The sequence below is a fragment of the Homo sapiens genome, chromosome 9 (genome assembly GCF_000001405.40).
Source record: "Homo sapiens chromosome 9, GRCh38.p14 Primary Assembly".
NCBI lineage: Eukaryota > Metazoa > Chordata > Mammalia > Primates > Hominidae > Homo > Homo sapiens.
Window position 1 is genome coordinate 73527705 of NC_000009.12, and position 21618 is coordinate 73549322.

The window sequence follows — 21618 nt, forward strand, 5'->3', positions numbered from 1 at the left end:
CTCTGGCAACCAACTGATTCCATCCAGACTCAGGATCCATGAGTCAGCTGGTCTTGTGGTGCCCCCACCCAGAGGCAGACTCAGTGCATGAGGATCATTTTTCATACCCCTATGATTGCATCCCCAACTAGTCAGCAGCACTCATTCCCTAGTCTCCTGCCCACCAAACTATCCTTGGAAATCCCTCACCACGGAGCCTTCAGGGAGACTGATTTGAGTAATAACCCTGTCTACCATATGCCTAGCCTAGAATTAATTAAAGTCTTTCTTTACTGCAATATAGCAATCTCAGTGAATTGATTTAGTCTGTGCAGTCTGTTCAGGGATTACAATGGCAAAAATAAATCTAAGCTTTTGAGTAATCACAATTTATATAAATAGTTTAAATTTTAGTTGCTTTAGGTGGTTTTCTCAGAAGCAGACCCCCCCAGACAAGGATTTGTGGGCAGTAATTTGAGAGCTGATTCCAGAGAGGAATGAAGTGAGAGCTGAAACATTGGGCAACTGAGGTTCTATCCAATTGGGGCTCTCCAAGACAGTTACTAGAGTCACTGGAAGAGTTGCTCCTGGGTGAAGGAGCTATCATGTCTATTCAACAACTTTTATTCCTCATTGTCTCAGGACTGCTGCTGGGGCCATTAGTTCTGTAGCACTTTCTGTCTGTCCCACAACATCTTCCTGCGGCCAGAGAAAGTCGTCAGATAGAGTCACCATTTTTTTCTATTTAGGAAGTATCAACATTACCAGACATAGTCAATTCTGGTCTGACAAGGGTGAAGCACCATCAGCTTCTGCTATACCAGTTAATAAATAAAAATTATCAAGTTGGATCTTTACAAATCAGATACATTGTGTTTACAAGAGACATACCTCCTAAAACATGACACAGAAAGGTGGAAAGTAAAAAAGCAAATATAAAGAAAAGGAATATGTTGTCTATATTAACATCAGTTAAAGAAATTGTTTTAAAGTCATTAATTCGTGATCAAGAGTCTCTACATATAAATAAAATCTTTACTCAGGAATATATAAGAACCTTCTATGTCATCAATAACATATTCTTACAATATAAAAGCAAACATTTTTAGATCAACAAAAATATCTAGACTAATCCATGATTGTTTGAGATTTCAGCATAATTCTCAGTAACTGACAGACAAAGCAAAGCAGACTGAGAAAGTCCATATAAATTTGAATAGTGTGAATAATATTAAGTTAATGGAAATACATAGTACATTATACCCAATTGGAGAATGTTATTTTTAGTACACATTATTTACAAAATTATTAAACAATTGTCAACAGTTTCCAAAATATTGATATAATTCAAAACACCCCTCCCACACCCACCCACCTATGTATAGATAGGTAGGTAGGTAGACATAGATAGATATCTATGCAGTCGTGTATTGCGTAAGTCATTAGGCAATTTCATTCCTGTGGAAACATCAGGGTTTTTACACAAACCTAGATGATATAGCCTAGGCTACACGGTATGGCATATTCCTGCTAGGCTATACACCTATATAGCACAGCACAGTAACACAATGGTAAGTATTTGTGCATCTAAACATATCTAAACCCAGAACAGGCACAGTAAAATATAGTAGTCTAATCGTATGGAACCATTGTCATATATGTGGTTCATTGCTGACCCAAACATCATTATGCAGCACATGACCATATGTCTATTTATTGATGTATCTATATGTACAGAAAAAGGAGTGGAGATGCTTTACAGATGGCAAATGGACCATTTTTTATCAAGTGACACAAAAGGATGAAAAGGACATGAAAAGCCAGAGAATATCAAGGGGGATTATCTGGGATTGTGGGGAGGATAAGGCAATAAGCACTGTCAGGACATAGACAGGACTATATCCAGCTGGCTGTTGACTGGCTCAATTTCTCATGTTTATATCACCTTGAAACCATTGATGCCATCTATTATTCCTCAGAAACAATGAGGTGGTTGATCCATCACTTCTAAATTTGACTTTGTGAATATAGGCAGCCTAGAAGCACTTTTCTCACACATGCATTCCATGGAGGCACAGTCTAACATAGAAGGTTACATAATTAACCAGCATCTACAGCATCACTACAATCTGTGGATGGCTTGGCTCTACTCCGCATTTTTGTCATATTACAGGCACTATCTGTCAAAGCAGGTGTGGTAGCCCTGACATTTTTGCAGGCTTCCTGCCCTTCCATGAAGGCCTCCTGAAGTATGAGAAACTTCACTTAGAGCTGGGAAAAGCTAGGCCATAAAGGCTCTCAGGACCTAGATCAACAACAAGGAGCATTCTTTTGGGATGGATGTTAATATGGTTTGGATCTGTATCCCTACTCAAATCTCATATTGAAATTCAATCCCCAATGCTGGAGGTGGGGCCTGGTGTTGAGAGGTGATTGGATCATAGGAGCAGTTTCTCATGGTTTCACACAATCCTCATTTGGTGCTGTACTTAGGATAGGGTTCTCACAAGATCTGGTTGTTTAAAAGTGTGTGTGGCACCTCCCTGCTCTCTCTCTTGCTCCTTCTCTGGCCATGTAAGACATGCTCTGTACCCCTTTGCCTTCTGCCACAATTGAAAATTTCCTGAGGCCTCCCCAGAAGCCAGGCAGAGGCCAGCATCATGCTTTCCTGTTAAGCCTGCAGAACCATGAGCCAGTTAAACCCCTTTTCTTTATAAATTACCCAGTCTCAGGTATTTCTTTATAGTGGGTGGAGGGCAGATTAATACAGATGCTTAAGTGAAGCGCTCTAGTAGCACTATTTAGGGCCATTTTAATCTACCTGCCTTCCAGACAGTATTCATTAGCATTCAGTTGTGTTATCTCTTGGGAAGGCTTTTTTGGGGCTAAGCCCTTTATCTAAAACTCTGGAGGCGTTTAGGAGTTTACTTGTAGAGGTTTGGGACTCTGACTTTTTCCTTATTCTAACTGCTTACATTTATTAGGCTTCTATCTTTCTTTGTTTTACTGATAAAGTTAGGCCTCTGTTCCCAAACCAAGTGCTCTTTTCATATTTAAGTAGATCAACAATGAAATGTGAATAGTAACCTGTTAGCAAAAATAAAGACCCAGGCCTTGTATGAGATGCAACTCTCCACTTAAATAAGGTTGTAACCATGAGGGACCATCCCAAAGGAAATAAGCCACTTCAAAATAGTGTGATTAAGATTTAATAAATAGTGAAAATGTTAATACTCAGTTGATGATTTCTTTCACTTGAGTTAATTATTCGATCAGCAAATAAACATTAAAGAGGGGAATGTATGGGGAAGGGCAGTTGTCTGTTCAGAGGCTGCTTAGATTCATTTTTGGTAATGAACTTCCCATGTGGTCAGAAACTCCCTAGGTTAGAAAAACAAAAAACTCTGGACTGATCCCTTCCATTAAAAGTAACCTAGAGGAGGGGATATATCACATTCAAGATTCAGCCCGGGTACTTCTTCGTGGGCCACATTATAGATGCCTGTCTCCTGTTTTTTATGTGTTGTTAGGACGATCTCATGCCTATCTATAGCCTACCACCACTGTGTAGTGGAGCAACATTTTCAAATTAAACATTTGTTTTTAATTCATCTTATTCCTAGCCTCCTCAATCCATCAGCAAAGACTTTCTATGTGAACTGCCTTCAGGGTAGGGAGGGTAAGTAAAGAACAAAGAATGAAATTCTAAACTTTGAAGCTGACTTTTGCAATCCAAGCAGAAACAATACTCTGGAAGCCCTGAAATCCATTTCCCAGACACTTGGGAGAGAATAGTGTTTAAAGATGTTTTACTCGAGCCTGGGTGACAGAGCGGGACTCTCTCTCAAATAAAAATAAAAATAATTAAAAAAAGAATTGTAACTGTTTTTTTTATTTTTCAACAAACTTACCTTCAAATAGCAAAAGACTGAACCTGATAGCTCTACCATGAATCATTCTGATGGGAAGATTGTATGGCCATACATATTTATTTTTTAATCACGACTTTACGCCAGATGTTTAACAAAAGAACACAAAGCGAGTGAATAGACACTGCAAGGGCTTATATACTGTCTCTCTAAGACGTCCTCAGAGCCATCTCTTTTCCCCTTTTGCACAAGCCTTGAAACAAATTTGTGGTAGATGTGGGGCATTTAGAGACTTTGGCCTGGCTTTTCAGCAACTCTCAGGAAAGTCCCTCTTTCAATGAGATTGTCAGTGTTTGGGTAGGGTAATGAAAACCTCTTAGGAACCACATCAAATCTTCTTTGTCTTACTTCCTATCCAGAGCTGCTACAATAACTACAGGCTTCAACCAGCTAAAGATAGTATAAACTGGAAGCTCTTTCCACAGGCTCATGTTGTCACTCCCACCTCCTGTCCCAGAGATACTCTACTGCTGTCCTTTGAGATGTTTTGGGACAGTTTAGGGTTTCCAAATGTGCAACTTGGTAGCACAGGTGTATTAATGCTCTGTGAAGTAACGTTTGACCAAGAGGAAAATGGCATTCAATGGATAGCTGCTTTGCCTCTTTTTCTCCTGTGTGGAAGGTCAACTAGGTCCTTAGGATTAAGCAATTAGTAAAAACAGAAACACAGAAGATGCCAAATCGGTAATGCATCTTTCATTGGACTACCATCTTATAGTTTATTCCTTGGATCACACTGCCTAGTAAAGTACCTGCACTCAAGCCACCTACTATACAATGGTATCACAGTTCCTAAGATGCTTATCTGTAGTTAGGTTAAAAAAAAAAAAAGCATTTTGTTATGTAATAACTATAGAACCTGAATTATATAGGGAAAACATTATTACGAGAATAACTAACTGTTAGAAACTTTAAAAATAAAAATGACAGAAAGGAAAAGAAGATTTTTTCCATATATGATGCTGGGTCAATTAGATATCAAGGTGGAAAAACTAATGCATATTGACTTCTACCTCACATCATACACTAGAGTTAATTCCAGATACATTGAATAATTAAATGTAAAAAAGGGAAACGCTACTGTTTTCAGAAGAAAACCGGAGAGTATCTTTGTAATATTCAGTTTGTATGCGAAGATTTATTAAGCAGGATTATTTATTAAACATCATTTTCTCTTGATGATTACAACACAGTAATCATCAAGAGAGAAAAATGATAAATTGGAGCGTTAAGACTTTTGGGTTGCAGAATCAGGCAAATTCTGGAACTTCACTCGGAATTGGACCCTTGGTTTTTCTTCTCCTTCCTCATCCTGCTCTTCCCACTCACTTACTTGTTTCTCTTGGGAACACTTCCTCAATATATCACTCACATAGCAACCTTTGGCTCAAAATTTGATTCTGTGAATATCTGACCTAAGACACGTTATGAAAAAGTGCTTATGCTCAAAATATCATCAAGGAATTAAAACCACACTGAAATAGCTTACATAACTAAGAGAATGGCTAAAATTTTTTTAAAAATGAAGTAAATGAGAGGGAGACAAAACATCAAACATTGGTAAGAATGCTGAGCAATCACAATTCTTATTTTCAACGCTATAGAGGTATAAATTGGCACAATTATCTCGAAAAATGCTTTTTAATATCTTCTAAAGCTAAATTTATCAATATGTGATAACCAAATTATTTTATTTCTAGATGTGTGTCCAGTGGAAATGTATACATATTTATCAAAATACATATACAAAAATATTCACGGTAGTACTAACTCTAATTGACTAAAAATAAAAACTACTCAAACACCCATCAATAACAAAATGGATGAATAAATTATAGGGTATCCACAAAACGGGACCAACAAACAATAATAACATGAACATGAATGAATATCAAACTACTCAAGCACAACAAAGAATCTATACTGTAACATTCAATTTATGTAACGTTCAAAAATAAACAAAAATAATATTAGTGCTGGGTATCAGGACAATGATATCCTTTGTGGGGATTATAAAGTTGAAGAGAGTTTAGCGGGATGATATTGTTTGGATTAGTGTCCCCACCCAAATCCCAAATCTCATGTTTAATTGTAATCCCCAATATTGGAGGTGGGGCCTGGCGGGAGGTGACTGAATCATGGGAATGGATCCTTCATTGATGGTTTAGCACCATCCCTTTGGTGCTGTTCTCATGATAGATTTCTCAGGAGATCATGTTGTTTAAAAGTGTGTGGCACCGCGCATCGCATCTCTATCTCTTCCTCCTTCTCCGGCCATGTAAGAAGTGCATGCTTCCACTTTGCCTTCTGCCATGATTGTAATTTTCCTGAGGCCTTTCCAGAAGCTGATGCCAAAATGCTTCCTGTACAGCCTGCAGAACTGTAAGCCAGTTAACCTCTTTTCTATATAAATTACCCAGCTTCAGGCATTTCTTTATAGCAGTGCGAGAACTGACAACTTGAGGGGCTTCTGAGTTGCTGATAATATCCTGGGTTTTGATCTTGCTGTGTAATTCATAGAGGTGTGTTTAGATTGCAAAAACACAAATTATAAGCTTTATACTTATTGTGTATTACTAGTATGTTATGCTTCAATAACAAAAATAATAAAGTGTTAAGCTCAGTTCAGCTAAATGTTAGTTCAAGTCATGTGAAAGCAAGAAGTCATGTATGCAAGCAATTAGAGAGAACTCAATCAACTGCAGTGATAAGTTACACTATACTGAAAATTAGACACACATTGTAACATCAAGGTGGCATAATTTTAAAAGTTAGACATGCACAGACTTTCTATGTTAAATTCAGTGCCTTGTTAGAAAAGAATAAAACTGAGAGCTGGCATGGAGGTTTTGCGTGAACAACTCTTAGAATCTTGAAATCCAGACACCTCTGAACCTACCAGGCTGGCAGAAGCAGCTCCTTCCCAATTGTCTGAGATGAAACCTTTCTCTTGTCTGGGGATCATAAGACCTCAATTCACTGCAAAAAGTGCTCCTCAGGATGTACTCCTAACATAACTCACGGCCAGCAAGTTGATAGTGAGCACTCAGTATCAGCATTGGTGTTTCTAAGACTCAGTTGTGGTATCTCTTTGAAGTATGGACATGATGAATAATTATAATAAAATGGAGACACTGGAGTGTTCATGATAGTATAAGAGGTCAAAAGAACAAAGGAGTATCATTATCATATTTATTATATGAGACCTGAGGACCCATTAACTGACAATGTTGCATGAGGAAGCCCAGATAACATTTGATTCACTAAGGCAATAATGAAAGAACTGATGAAGGATCTACCAGCATCTTTCAGAAGCTCAGGCATGTTTCTCCTCCATAGGCAGAAATTAACAGTGGACAACATTGTCATAAAACTAGGCTACTTGGTATTAAAATTGTGTGTAGAAAATTGTATAATGGCAGAGGGTAGCCTGTTAACTGTCAGATGCAAAGTAGGTGTAGCTACTGTAATGCTAGCAAGGCTGCGGATGGCTTGCCTGTGAGATTTTGTAGTAATAGCAATTAGATCATAATGTTCTTGGGATAAGACAGAATGACAAACAACTAGGGTACTGTTCAATATATATGATAAATATAAAAATATATGTGTAATACTGGCAGACAGAAAGCAGCAGTCAATCATCGCAATAGCAAATTTTGTAGAGACTGAGTGCCTGACCATGCAGCACCACATGACTCTGGGAGAGAGGGAATGCCCATCATGACCTGGTTATTATCAGATTCCTCGAGTCATAAAGATGAGCAGACATAACAATGGAAAGTTGTTTGATGGAGAAATTACATATTCTAGATGGAGCCCAGCCAATTATAGGGAGTAGAAGTAAGTTACATGAACATGTGGCTCAGAACGCCATGTTGCCTATCTCTGCTGTGCTGAAGCAGTACCCTTAACTTATACCTTTAGTCTAATGGGAGTTCCTTGTGATAAACTACTGGAGGAAAATAGAACTCATGCAGATGGGTTGGTGATAGCAAAAACATACTATTGGCACAGTACAATCCAAGTCAGGGATAACTCAAAAAGATAGTCATTAAAAGAAATCCTTCTAATGGAAAAGATGCAAACAGTAATTAGACAGTTCCCAACTTACAATGCTTCAACTTAAGTGTTTTTTTTTTTAAGTTTACAATAGTATGAAGTGATAAGTATTTAGTAGAAACTATATTTCAGGTACCCATGCAACCATTCTGATTTTTACTTTCAGTGCAGTATTCAATAAATTATGTGAGATGTCCAAAACTTTATTATTTAATAGGCTTTGTGTTAGATTATTTTGCTCAACTGTAGGCTACTGTAAGTGTTCTTAGCACATATAAGGTGGGCTAGGCTAAGCTATGATTCTCAGTAGGTTAAGTATATTAAATGCATTTTTGACTTATGATATTTTCAGCTTGCAATGGGTTTATCAGGATGTAACTCCAATGTAAGTTAAGGAAAATCTGCATTCGGATATTCATTCTGTATGTATGGAGAAGACATTTGAAATAGAGATATACAAATATTTCTGACCAGTTGTAAATGACTTGCTTCATTAGTCAAGAGTCTGAAAAATCAAGATTGGCAGATAAGACATAAGAAAGCCTGAGATAGAGACACATGGACAAATATCTGGTATCATGTACAAAATGTGAAGATCTTTGTCTCTCTTATTAATTTTCACCATATAGAATCCACTACAGAAGACATTCTCAACAGTGGAACTGGACAATACACTTGCACAGTAGCCACTATGGCATAGATGGGTACTAGGTATAGGCCTGATGACATGTGCTTTCTTTACTTAATCCGAGCTAACTAATGTCTGTTGAATGTTCAATATCCTAGCTGTAGAAACTGATGCTAACTCATTGATGTGGCAGAATTACTTGAGGAGACCAGTCCTTTACTGAGAGGAAGATGGATTACATCCTAAACCTTCCTCAATGGAGAGGCAGTGATTCATACTCACTGGAATTGACACCCACCTATGCCAGGTATGGGTTTGCTTTCTCTGCTTACAGTGGTTTCATCGTAACCATTATCAGAAGCTTACATAATGCCTGATCTAGTGGTATAATTTCCTGCATGCCATTGCCTCACATCAGAGCACTAATTTTATGGCAGATTTGACAATGGGTGTATAAAAGTGAAATTCCCTGATTTTTAGGCCTTACTATTCAAAATCATCTGGCCTAATAAAATGAGAGAAAGCTAGGGTGCCAGCTTGGGGATAACCACATATAAGGTTTGTGGTTCTTTCTCTAATAACTAAAATGCATGGAACTAGAAACAATAAGGTAGGAATAGGGTTGGTCTCTCTCACCCTGTTACCGTTACTTTCAAGGAAGCACTTGTAAAACCTGTGCTCTCCATCTGTTGACTTTAGAGTATGCTATATATATGTTTTGTTTGATGAGAAAAGGTGGAGGGTACTGGGAATGATAAACATGTCTACCAGAGGACACAATAAAGCTTCCACTGAACTTTAAGCTCCAACTACCATCCAATCTCTTTGGCAATTAGTGCCTGCTAAATAGCAGGAAAAGATGAGAGTTACTGTACTGTAGAGGTAATAGATTGATTATCAAATAAAGGTAGGGATTATACTATACACTATGGGCAACAAAAAATGTATCTGACAACTAGGGGACTGCCTGATCGATCTCCTAGGTATTTCCTTGTCTAGTGATAATGGTGTATGGGCAATTGTCCCGTGAAGGCCAAATTAAGTAACAGTTGACTCCTTATGGATAAGAGTCTTAGCCACTCCATTGTTCATGGGCTCCATATACACCAAAGTGCTTGTTGGAGGTAAAGTCTATATAATATGGTTGGTCAAGGAAAAAGAAATAAATATCAATTAATGCTTTGGATCAGTTAAGTTACAGTAACTGAGATTATATTTTATTGACCCTCTTGTATTAAATATTTGTAGAGGGATTCCTGCTGTTTACCGTGAAGGAGATTTAGATGAATTGATTTATTAGAGGGCACATGGGAACTGAGTGGTGCAAAGAGTGGACTGTATTAGAAAGATACATTTTAAACTTTACTTTGATTACTGTCCTAATCCTATTACAGACGCTACCGTGGTGACCTGTTCTGTTTTGTCCAGTCAGCTTCGCATGACGAATTGTGACAGTGCTTTAGTGCAGGCCTGGGCTATGTACCTCTCATTTCCTGTTCCAAGACTGGGTACTCACATATGTGTAATCTAGAAGTGCAGAAAAGTGAATACCCTGTGGAGAATTTTTTGATCAATGAGTGAGAGAGCTGATGGATGAATAGTGTTTCTCTAGGCAAACATCTCCAAAGACTCATTTTAGGAAGTCCATAGCATCAAGCATTCAGTTGTTTATAGAAGAGGCTAATATGCTTCTTTATAATGACTTTTTATCATGTACTATCTTGCTCCTTCTGTGCCAGATTCCTACTGTCTGGATTGCTCTCCCAAATAAAGTACTTGCACTTAAACCTTTGGTCAGTCTCTCCTTTCTAGAGAATACAAGCTAAGTCAAATATCGAAGTCTCAAGTGGGTGCTTAGGTAAATGAACATGAGGCTTTGCTTATGGAGTTCAGAATGGAGTGGACATCCTGAGCTTCCTAAGACTGAGAAGGCTGGTAGTCAGGATTTTTGAGCCTCTCAAGCAGTACTGAATTACTAAGAAGGCTAGCAGAAGTGTGAAGGTTGGGAACAGAATATAATAACTGTGAACTTGATGACTGAAAATCATGACAAAGCTCTTACAATTATGACTGTATGCAGCACAAAGCAAATATCAAAAAAGAGACGTTATTCTTGAAAAATGATCAGAAAGAACACAGAAGAGCATACAGAGCCGAAGTTACTCTACACGTGTGTTCCAAATCCACATGTAAGGTTTTATATCACTCCCAAAAGGGATTGCAAACTGGATGGAGCAATACTGTTTTTTCTACTCTCTACTCTCATTTTACCAAACAAGACAGACTTAAACCCTGTACTGAATTAGTTACTATATATTTGTAAAACATAATTCCATAATCAGTGGAAACTATTGTTCAAGAGAAAAATTATTTCAGATAAATAAGTATTGTTTTAACTTCTGCACAGGGGTTTATAAACCTTCTGGTAATATAAATTTTCAACCCACTAAAGCTGTAAATCCAAACCAAACGGTGCATTTCTAAAGCAGATGTTTTAGTGTTCTAGACAAAGGTGTGCTACCAAAGTAACATTCTATTAGCATATATAGCTCTATTTCATGAGATATGGCATTATAGGTCTTTTGTTTTGTTTGTTTTGTCAGGTAAATGATCCATGAGTTCATCTGGGAGGTATACAGAAAACTCTTTAGTTTTCCTTTTCTGATTATTTTAATGTATCATTTTAACAGTACAATTACTTTCATATCCATTGGAAATAAAACTCTTGGGCTGAATTGAATTATTGTTAACTTAGTTAAACTGGAAACTGTTTTCTAGAATTATCTTTCCTATAAGAGTTAGGATTAGAATTGGCCAAAGGAGAAACTTGTATGAAATATGGAAGGTGGAGGGAAGTAAAGACCATTACTATCAGGGGTTAATGGGTCATCTTGAGTGATGGGCAGACACAGAAGTCCCCAGGAGTCCCAGCTTGCCTTCTTACTATCTGTTCTACCTGCAGTTCATCTTCCTGACCGATGGCCCTGCTGACTACCACCCACAGATGCTTGCCTGCAGAGCCACAGAGGTGGCAGCCAAAACAGAGGCAATGGCTTTCTAGAGACCTTTCAATAAGCATCCCATTTTGCTCATTGCTCATCAATGAGCAGAGCCATTTTCAAGGCCAGATGTGCTGGGCTCTCAGAATTTCCTGTGAGATCTGACTTGTTGACTCATAGTGGGGCTTCAGTAGGAATAATTGATTTCTTCTCTGATCTTCTGACATCCTCCTTCCATAGCTTCATTTTCTCAGACTCTCCCACATTTTGTAGAAGGTCTAATCAATAAATTCTTCATTCTCTTAATATTTATTGTGACTCCACTTCCCTGAATGAACTCTGACTTACATGTCTCCAAACTAATTCCACTTTCAAAGAAATAGACATTTGTTGGGCCCCTATTTTGACCCAGGCACTGATAATTCAAATCTCTTTAAGATTAGTATGAATAATTTAATCATGATTAAATAGAACTTGTACATTTAAATAGCTGACTTTAATCCCAATTTCATCTCAGAATTTAAAGACATTGATGATACAAATCTTTTCCAATCCTGGTAGGCACAAAAACGTTTCTTTGCACCCCTTCCCTCCCCCCAGCAGTGAGTCTTCTTCCCTAGTCCACTGGGCTAGGGCTTTGGCAAGTACAAAGAGTGGTGACCGTAAGTCTGAGCCTGCTTTTACTGGTAGAACAACTCTCACTATTTTATCTGCATCTGTTATGAAGAAAAATATATTACCATGGATCTTTTAAACCCAGACCAGACATTTGAACTGTCATTTTCACCTCTGATTTCCATCAAGGTTCACAAAGCTTTTAAAGGCACTCAGTAATGTATCCTGTATATCAAGATCCACAAAAGGCGACGTTTCTGTTCTACAGGGGTGAGAGGCAGAGCGCCGGACTCTTTGTAGCCCACGACCAGGGAGTTCAAAAGCACCAACAAAGGACTTTTATGCAGCCAAGGACTTTTTTCTATGACTTTTATTCTGAGCAAAATGTATTCAGCCAAGAAAGAATGGGAAATAGTGGTCTTAAAATAATTTCCGTGGCAGAAACTGGATTTCAAATGATATAATGAACTAATGTGCAGTACAGAGATGGAAATAATTAGCTCAGAGAAGGCATTTGATAGAGTTAGCAGAAAAATAATTGATCTACATTTTATGTGATTCTTATAAAAACGAACTCTATGGGAAAATTAGTAGTCTTTGATAGGTATATTCAAAAATACAGATTCACAATAAATATTGGCATTACATTTTGTGAAATGTCATATAGGCTGGATTACAATTCAGATATTCTGTTTATGAGTCCATAAATATGTTCTTTTTCATGATGGAAATTTCCATTTTCCTTTTAGATTTGCGATTTTAGTACATAGATCTTGCTTATCTATTGGGTATTTATAAGTTTTAAGATTTCATCAAGATGTTGACAAAATTTACAGGATACAGATAAAATGGAATTTTGACATGCATAAAACATTACAACAAGATTTAAATGAGAATAACACTGGAAAACATCAAGCAATGTTTACCTGCTTTGTCAAAAAACTGGTGCTATTCTTTGGATACTCAGTTTACACACATCAGGTCATTTGTTTAGCTGTGGTATGGAATTGTGTTGATCTGCCCATACTCTGGTGACTAGAGTTAATGGTTATGAAATTTTGAATTCCTTTAGCATCCAGGTGAATTATTTACAGAAGAGAAGTAACAATTGCCTAGGAAACCACATTGTTTACCACTATTGTCTCATCTCAGACTACTTTCTTTATTTTCTTATTTATTTATTTATTGAGACAGGGTCTCACTGTATTGATCAGGCTGGAGTACAGTGGCATGATCATGGCTCACTGCACTCTCGACCTCCTGGGCTCAAGTGAATCTCCCACCTCAGCTTCCCGAATAACTGCGACCACAGCATGTACCAGCATACTCTGCTAATTTTCCTAATTTTGTAGAGATGTGGTGTTACCATGTTGCCCAGGCTGGTCTCGAACTCCTAGATTCAAGTGATGTGCTCACCCTGGCCTCCCAAAATGCTGGGATTACAGGCATGAGCCACCACCCTTGGCCAATCTCAGGCTACTTTCTATGATGAGGGTCCTTCTTGTCCTAGTGGTATGGCCAGTATTTGTGAGCTACAGCTTCTGCTTCAAATGGAATGTACTTTTTAATTCAATGACTTTACAGCTCTTAAATTATTGATTGACTTTAGTACCCTGAACACTGGCCGTTTTAAATTCCTTCCTGCCTGAAGCTTTGTCCCGACTTTGGTATTCATTTTTCTGGATTCTACATGTAGCTTGTTTGGGACTTTATGGTCTATCTCTCTCAGTCTTGGTATAATCTTAGTTCCTGCTTTCGTTTTGATATGCCCCTATCCTGATGTGTAACTACTTACTATCCTGAATTTCAGAGCTGGAAAGAATAACCATCTATGCACACTAATTCTCAGTACAGCAATTTATCCTTTGCTCTCCTCAACTTGGCCTATGTGTATTGTTTCCGATTTTCAACGAGGTTATTCCTCTAAGTCCTGATATTAAGAAATGTTTACACAGATTTTTTAAAACACTCAGCAATGTATCCTGTATATTAAGATCCATATTATTATTATCCTTATTATTATCTATAATGATAATGGTTGTTGTTATTATTATTATTATTACAGCTTCAGTTAGGAGCCAGCACTGTGTCAACAGGGACTGAGTCATTAGGCACAACCCCCTGGAGCTGTGTAGAGCACAGCCTGAGCAACTCTCCACAGCAGCATCCTAATAGCTGGCACTTTAAAGCATAATTCTTTATGTAATTCTCTCAATAGCAGTGCAAGATAGTTATGATTGTGCTCATTTTACAGAGGGTGGTTCCTAAGGCTCAGAAAAGTTTAGCCAGGTGCCCCAAATCATTCAACCAGCAAGTCGTAAGATGAAGTTTTTACTTCAGATTTGACTCCAAACCGCATGCTTTTGTCATTATACCTTGACTTTGCATTGATTTTTTTTAAATTGTATACAGTATGTAGTAATTTAGTATTTAAGTGGGGGAGCTGTTGGCCTATGCTGTCTTTCTTGTGAATATTTCCTATATTTCACACATTTTCTTAAAACACCAGATATTAAGGGGAGAGGGTGTAAAAGAACACAGTAATCTACAAACTTTATGTACTGCAGGAAGTAATTTGGATTTACCTCTAAAGACAATTTGTTTACTTCTTAGATTTGGGAAATGCTGGAGTGATCTTTGTTATAATGTTACCATGCTGGTTAAGAATATTTTCAAGGTTATGGGCATAGGGGCTAAACTAATTAGCAATTGATGACGTTGGTTATTCCTAGACACCCTCCTTTAGCTCCCCGGAAATGGTCAAGAGCACGTTCTAAGGCTATATTTGATAAGTTCCTTCACTGGCTGCTCACAGAGACATAAGGACATCGTGTCAGACATGATTTCTGACCTTTTCACACATGTTTGTGGGGAGCAACACTCAACTAGTGAACAATAAACTGATTTCATTTATAGTTTAAAAAATCTTTCGAACATCAATATGCAAAATCCAAATAAAATCAAATTGAAAAGCAAGCCCATTTAAGTCATTTACATGTATTATGGCTATGTATGATAATATTAGTAGAAGAAATAGGGTGAGGGCCACAAGGAAACTATAATTTTAGCAACTTATGAATCTTAAACTACTAAACAAAAAAAAGTTTTAAAAGTTTTAAAAAATTAATAAAAGTATGTCTGCTCTTAAGGTATTTTCCTTTTGAAATCAGACACATTGTTCTTTCTAAGTCTTCACTAATTCAAATGTCTTTCATTAATTTCAGTGCAATTAATTCTGTAATGGTGGCCACATTTATCCATGTAGGAGCTAATTCTAGAACAGTGGATACTTTGTCTATCACAATTAACATAACGATATATAGAGAAGAAATGAGCAAATAAAACAGAAAGGCAAAATAAAAGAGAGTTTCTAATAGTGGGAGAAGATCACGAAGAACCATCAAAAACATTGAAAATATATTTTGAATTGTTTGAATTTGGGATAAATAGTGAAATTATGTTTCTTGCTGAACAAATATTTGTGGACCTCTATACCACAACATAAAAAAAGTTTAGAAATATTAATACAGTAGGAATGAAATCATGGGGCTAAAAGGCATTCCTTTATTTTCTTTTTTATAATCGTTTATTGTAATCATCATCAATCTTGTTTATCATTTATTATACACTTAGTTTTTGTAAGGCGCTGTTCTAGGTATTTCCAAGTTTTATATTATAATCCCTTATATTCTAGCTAGACTTACCTATATTTGATGAAAACATTCCTTGTATTTTGCTATTAAAAATAAAAACAACTGGTAAATCATTAATGTAATTACTATCTGTAAGTATTTTAATTTAGTAATATCTTTTCAAAAAAATAAAATTTTCACATGTACACCATACTGTAAAGTGATGTATAACACTAAAGCTTTGATTCATTTATTTTTGAGTTCCAACTATGTCCTCAGTATTCTGCTAAAAAAGAATGGTGATATAACAGACTTGCTGAAGCTTAGAATATAGTGGGGAGATAAATAGAAATGGTAGTTAAAATATAACTTAAAATAAATACATAGTTACAAACTGTAACAAGAATTATAAACAGAAAGGTTCAAAGTTAAGAAATTTAGGTTCTCTTCTGAGCCCTGTCATTAACTAGCAGTAAAACATTCAGAGTATTACACACTCTTGGACCACAAATTTCTCACCTAAAAATTCTATTTTGCAGACACTTTGATTCTATGTTTGCATGTATAAGTGGATTTCTTATTTATATTTTATTTTTATAGATTTTTAAAAGAAATACCTATTTATAATGTAGTTAATTATCTGGAAATTGCCAGAGTTAATATTCATTATTAAATAACTTTTTCAATATAGCACACACACACATAAAAAGACCATAAGATTTGGTATGAATTTGATCCTAAAGCTATATTTTAAATAAAACATGTTTATCAAAATTTTATCTCAAAATTCTATATTTTCACTGCATTGTTTAAGGTTAAAATGCAATTTTCTTCTTGGGTTTGAGATAAATTGCACTACTGATAGATTTTTCATCAAGATTTAGTTTTAATATTTTAGTATTGCCCCATATATGCTTAACTATAGCTTATGAAAAATTTCCTAAAACAAGCTTTACATAGATCTTATTTATTTTCTTCTGGGTTACGAGAGCACAGCTAATACATATCACTTGCTTTGTGCTGGGTACTACATATCACTTTTTACACAACTGTTGAATGTGATGCTGTTGTATGTGTTGGTGCTTATATGGATCTCAATATAAAGGTGAAAAAATGGAGGTGATTACTAACTACCCTGCCTAAGATGTCAGTAAGGGAGAGGGCAAGATTTGAACCCAGTCAGTCTGCCTTCAAAGTTTGTACACCTGCAACTGGGCGACTCTGCCTTCCTTAGCAAACATCTAAATTTGGCTTTACATTTTTGGATACTAACTAATGTAGACCATCCCTTCACTAACCTGGTACTAAGTTCAGACAACACTTTTTGACAGTTTTAATGTGATAAAATGTACTGACCTGCCTTTCGGCATTTTCTATACTTTTCTTTTTCGTTAGTCTAAGAATGGGATTATTATGGACTTGTTAAAATGGCAGGAAAACCTACAGGACACTTTTAAAGAGCTGTGACCTAGTTTTGTAAGTGTGCAATGTGCTGTTAAGGTTTAAGGTTAAGATAAGGGTTTCTTTGCCTTAAATTTGCAAATCTCTGTTAATGAACCTCAATTATGGCCTTAACTTGGTTGCTTCTCCATATATATCAGAGCTTGAAGGAAACTCTTAGTACCGAAAAATTTAGAATTGGAGCAGTCTTTCGTAATTTGGCCCAATTCCCTGCTTTATAACAGGAGCATTTAATTGGGTTGAAATCCATCAATCCAAGTAACTTGCCAGCATAATTGCAATTTCAAATGAAAATTAGAGTCAAATGTGGTAATGAAAAACATTGTTCCTTAAAACAAGTTGTTTGTTAAAGTTACTTTGAATACTGTTACGTTCTAGGCAGTGTTTACTGTAAACACACTATTTGTTGTATTAATTTCATAGAAAAAAGAAATGAAGAGATTAACCTCCAAAAAAGAATGCTTTCACAGTCTTAACTATCTTATATACAACATTTTTTAACTTAATGGGGTAGTACAAAGGAAATAATGATGTTTGCAATTTTTAGTGTGTTTATATTCAATAAATTCATTGTAAATGTATCTAAATATTTATAGCTGTATTGTTTTCGGGAAATATATTTTCCCTTAAAATTTTTAGAATTAGACATAAACAATTACGGTCAACTTTTTCTCAATCCTCAATCTTGGTTACTCATTAGCCTCACAGGGAGGATATAAAACACACACACACACACACACACACACACACACACACACACACGCACGCACACAAATGTTGTAATCCCAACCTAGGAAAATAAATCAATCTCCAAGGTGGAAATGAGTCAATGCTATTGTTTTATGCATCTTCCCCTCCCCACCAGATTAGTTTTATAATTCATGCCTTCTTCCCTTTTCTCATTGCTGACATCAAACTGTGATGTCTTTCTAGGCCTGTAAGAATATTTCCAGATACCCACCCTATGCAGCCTTTTCTTTTTTTTTTTTTCTTTCTTTTTTCTTTTTTTTTTTCTTGAGACGGAGTCTTGCTCTGTCGCCCAGGCTGGAGTGCAGTGGCGATCTCGCCTCCTGGGTTCATGCCATTCTCCTGCCTCCTGGGTTCATGCCATTCTCCTGCCTCAGCCTCCTGAGTAGCTGGGACTACAGGTGCCCACTGCCACGCCCGGCTAATTTTTTGTATTTTTTAGTAGAGACGGGGTTTCACCGTGTTAGCCAGGATGGTCTCAATCTCCTGACCTTGTGATCCGCCCACCTCGGCCTCCCAAAGTGCTGGGATTACAGGCGTGAGCCACTGCGCCCGGCCTCTTTTCTTAATAATTAATACCTTCATCTCCAGTCAAAACATTTTTCCTTCATTTGCACTTCCCTAGTCTTTGAAATCTTTCTTTATTTAGCATGCTGTTTGTTGTCCCTCTGCTATTTAATTGTAGGCTTTTTAGGTGTGATTTCCAGTTCATTTGTATATACGTTTCCTAGCATATAAAGCATTGACGAGGTCTTTAACAACTATCTGCTCGATTGAATTGAATTTAGAATTTACAAATGAATACACTATGAGCTACAATACGGAGAAAAGCAGATTTAATTTTCAAGGCATTCTTTTGTCTTTGATTCACTTAGAAAATTTTACTCACATTATTCCTTTCTTGAAATTCATTAGGTAATAAGTCTATTTTTGAAATAGTCTTTACATTTTTATATATTTTTCTTTTGATGGGGAATACCTCTCTTCTTGTATCTTAAGACCCATCTTAAGTTTACGTTCTCTATGAAGCTTTTCCTTACCCCTCTCTGCCTTCCCTTCATTTCCAAGAAAATCGATTTCTTTTGTGCTTCTGGAGCACATTGTACAAATTAGTCATTGTCTTTTTTTTTTCCCTTTTAAACAAAGAGTGTATGCTGCTTGAGGGCAAGGAGTATAGCATGCTTATTCATCTTTGTATACCAAAAACCTGAAATCTGATTGCCATTTAAAAGTGAATTATTTGAGTAAATGAATGGAAGATTCTGTGGCAAACTGTCTAGGCTGTTGATCTCATTCAATTTCATTGCTTATTTACCAATTAGAACCCAACTTTTCCCTCTGCCATGCCTTGGATTAGAACATAAACCCATAGCCAAATAGAACTAATTTAAGGCTGCCCTGCAGGGTTTCTAATCTTATGGTCAATTTTCTTTTCTTTTTTCTTTTTTTTTTTTTTTTGAGACAGAGTTTCACTCTTTATTTTCCAGGCTGGACTGCAGTGGCGTGATTTGGGCTTACTGCAACCTCCACCTTCCAGGTTCAAGCGATTCTCCTGCCTCAGCCTCCCGTGTAGCTGGGTTTGTAGGTGTCCGCCACCATGCCCGGCTAAGTTTCTTGTATTTTTAGTAGAGACGGGGTTTCACCATATTGACTAGGCTGATCTCAAACTCCTGACCTCAGGTGATCCACCCGCCTCGGTTTCCCAAAGTGCTGGGATTACAGGCGTGAGCCTGGCCAATTTTCATTTTTTAAATCAATTTTGTTTTCTGGAAAGGAGATATTTGGACATAGAAAAAAGCATATAGTCCAACGCTTAGTCCAAACAAGTAATCTTTAGAAACCTGGTTTAATGAAAGAAAACAATATGCATATGGGATAAATTATTTGTTTCAAAGAGTGGCATCCCTCTTAGAATTTTTTTTTTTTTTGCTTTTATCTTATATTTTCTAGATGCTAGGCCAAGCCCTAGATTCTACTGCTACATTTTCCTATCTCAAAAAATTACTCCTCATTGTCTCCTTTTCTTTCTGTCTCTGTTCTGTGCATAAACTTATGTGCGTTCTAAGGCATATTTTACTTTAGAAACTTTGCCAATTTTCTGCTACTTATTAAATATAATCCTACCTACTTTTCGCTATTTATTTGCATCAAACTAAAATGTAATTATTTTGCTTCATATGTGTTATTTGAAAAAGAAACTGCACTTCTATGGTTAGCTGTATCTATAGGATTGGTATCAACACAAGAAATTAATATTTTACCAACTAAACAACCATTTTTCATTTGCCACTGATTCGTTTTCTTCTTACCTGTTTGTGTCCTCCAAAATCATTACGAGAGGAGTCTTAGAAACAAAAGTGAACTGCAAACTGTGTATTTCAGAGCTTCACAAACTCACCTTTCTATTTTGTCTTGTACTGTTATGTAAAATTTGCTCCAGCATTTTGCTCAGCAAGATGGCAATTATTAACAATATATTTCTCTAAACTGTTGCTGCAAAGCTATTATTCATGCAGGGCTACAACCGAGTTAATTTTGGAAGAGAGCTGTTCAAAGAGGCCCAGAGCTGTAGCGCTTATGAACACTGCCTTTTCTCTTATTTCTAATTAGTGTGAAATGGTTCCAAACAGGAGTCAGCCCCACAGAAGTCTGTGTAGCACAAAGCCAGGCTTGTTAACGGACACAGGAAACAGTTTTGTTTTGCTGAATAAACAAATGCGTCATAAAAGCTTTTCAAAAGGAACACAATCTGATTTACCACACTCTTTAAATGTTGAATGTTGTTTATATGCCTCTGAGTCCTTTTTATTAAAATTCGAAAGGCCTACTCTTATGAGTCAATATAGATGATATGTTTGTGATGTTTCCCCGCAGTAGAGCAGTAGACTTACCTAGTAATACATTTTCCCTTCGCTTTTCATTTTATAAATTAACTTTTATCTTTTGTTTTGTGTGTTTTTGATGCATGACTGCATCAAAATTTCACACTATACCATTAAAACAATTTTGTTATCAATAATTACAATATTGTAAGAAAATCTGTTAATTACTTTACAGGATTTAGCTTGTTTTATCAGTGTTTTCTTCCAATATAAATTCCCCACCCATGTTGCTGATAATTTGTTTGTGTAAATACTTAAAATGGTGTAAAGTATAGTTTACTGCAGGAGATCTTCTGATATCTGCATTAGATGAATAAATTGGACAATTTCATCTAATCTAAATTGTAGCTCAAATTTCTCACTTAGTTTTCACTATTGTCAAACCCAGAGATCTAACTAGTCAAATTTGACTTAATCAAATCACACAAATCCTGGTCTTGAATTTGCACAAGATCACTCAGTAATGATGTGTAAAATTATGCTAAATTTCTGTCTCGTCTTAAGAAATTAAATATGTCTTAAGTTGTTTGCACCCTTCCAAAATGCCTATTATATTTTAAGTGCCCAGAGTGGGTCCTTAAATAATGTTATCTGAGCAATACTGCTTTCTTCATGCAAAGTAATATGAAAAGTTAAATCTCCTTTAAATGAAAGTCTTTGAAACATATTCACATGAAGTTATAACCA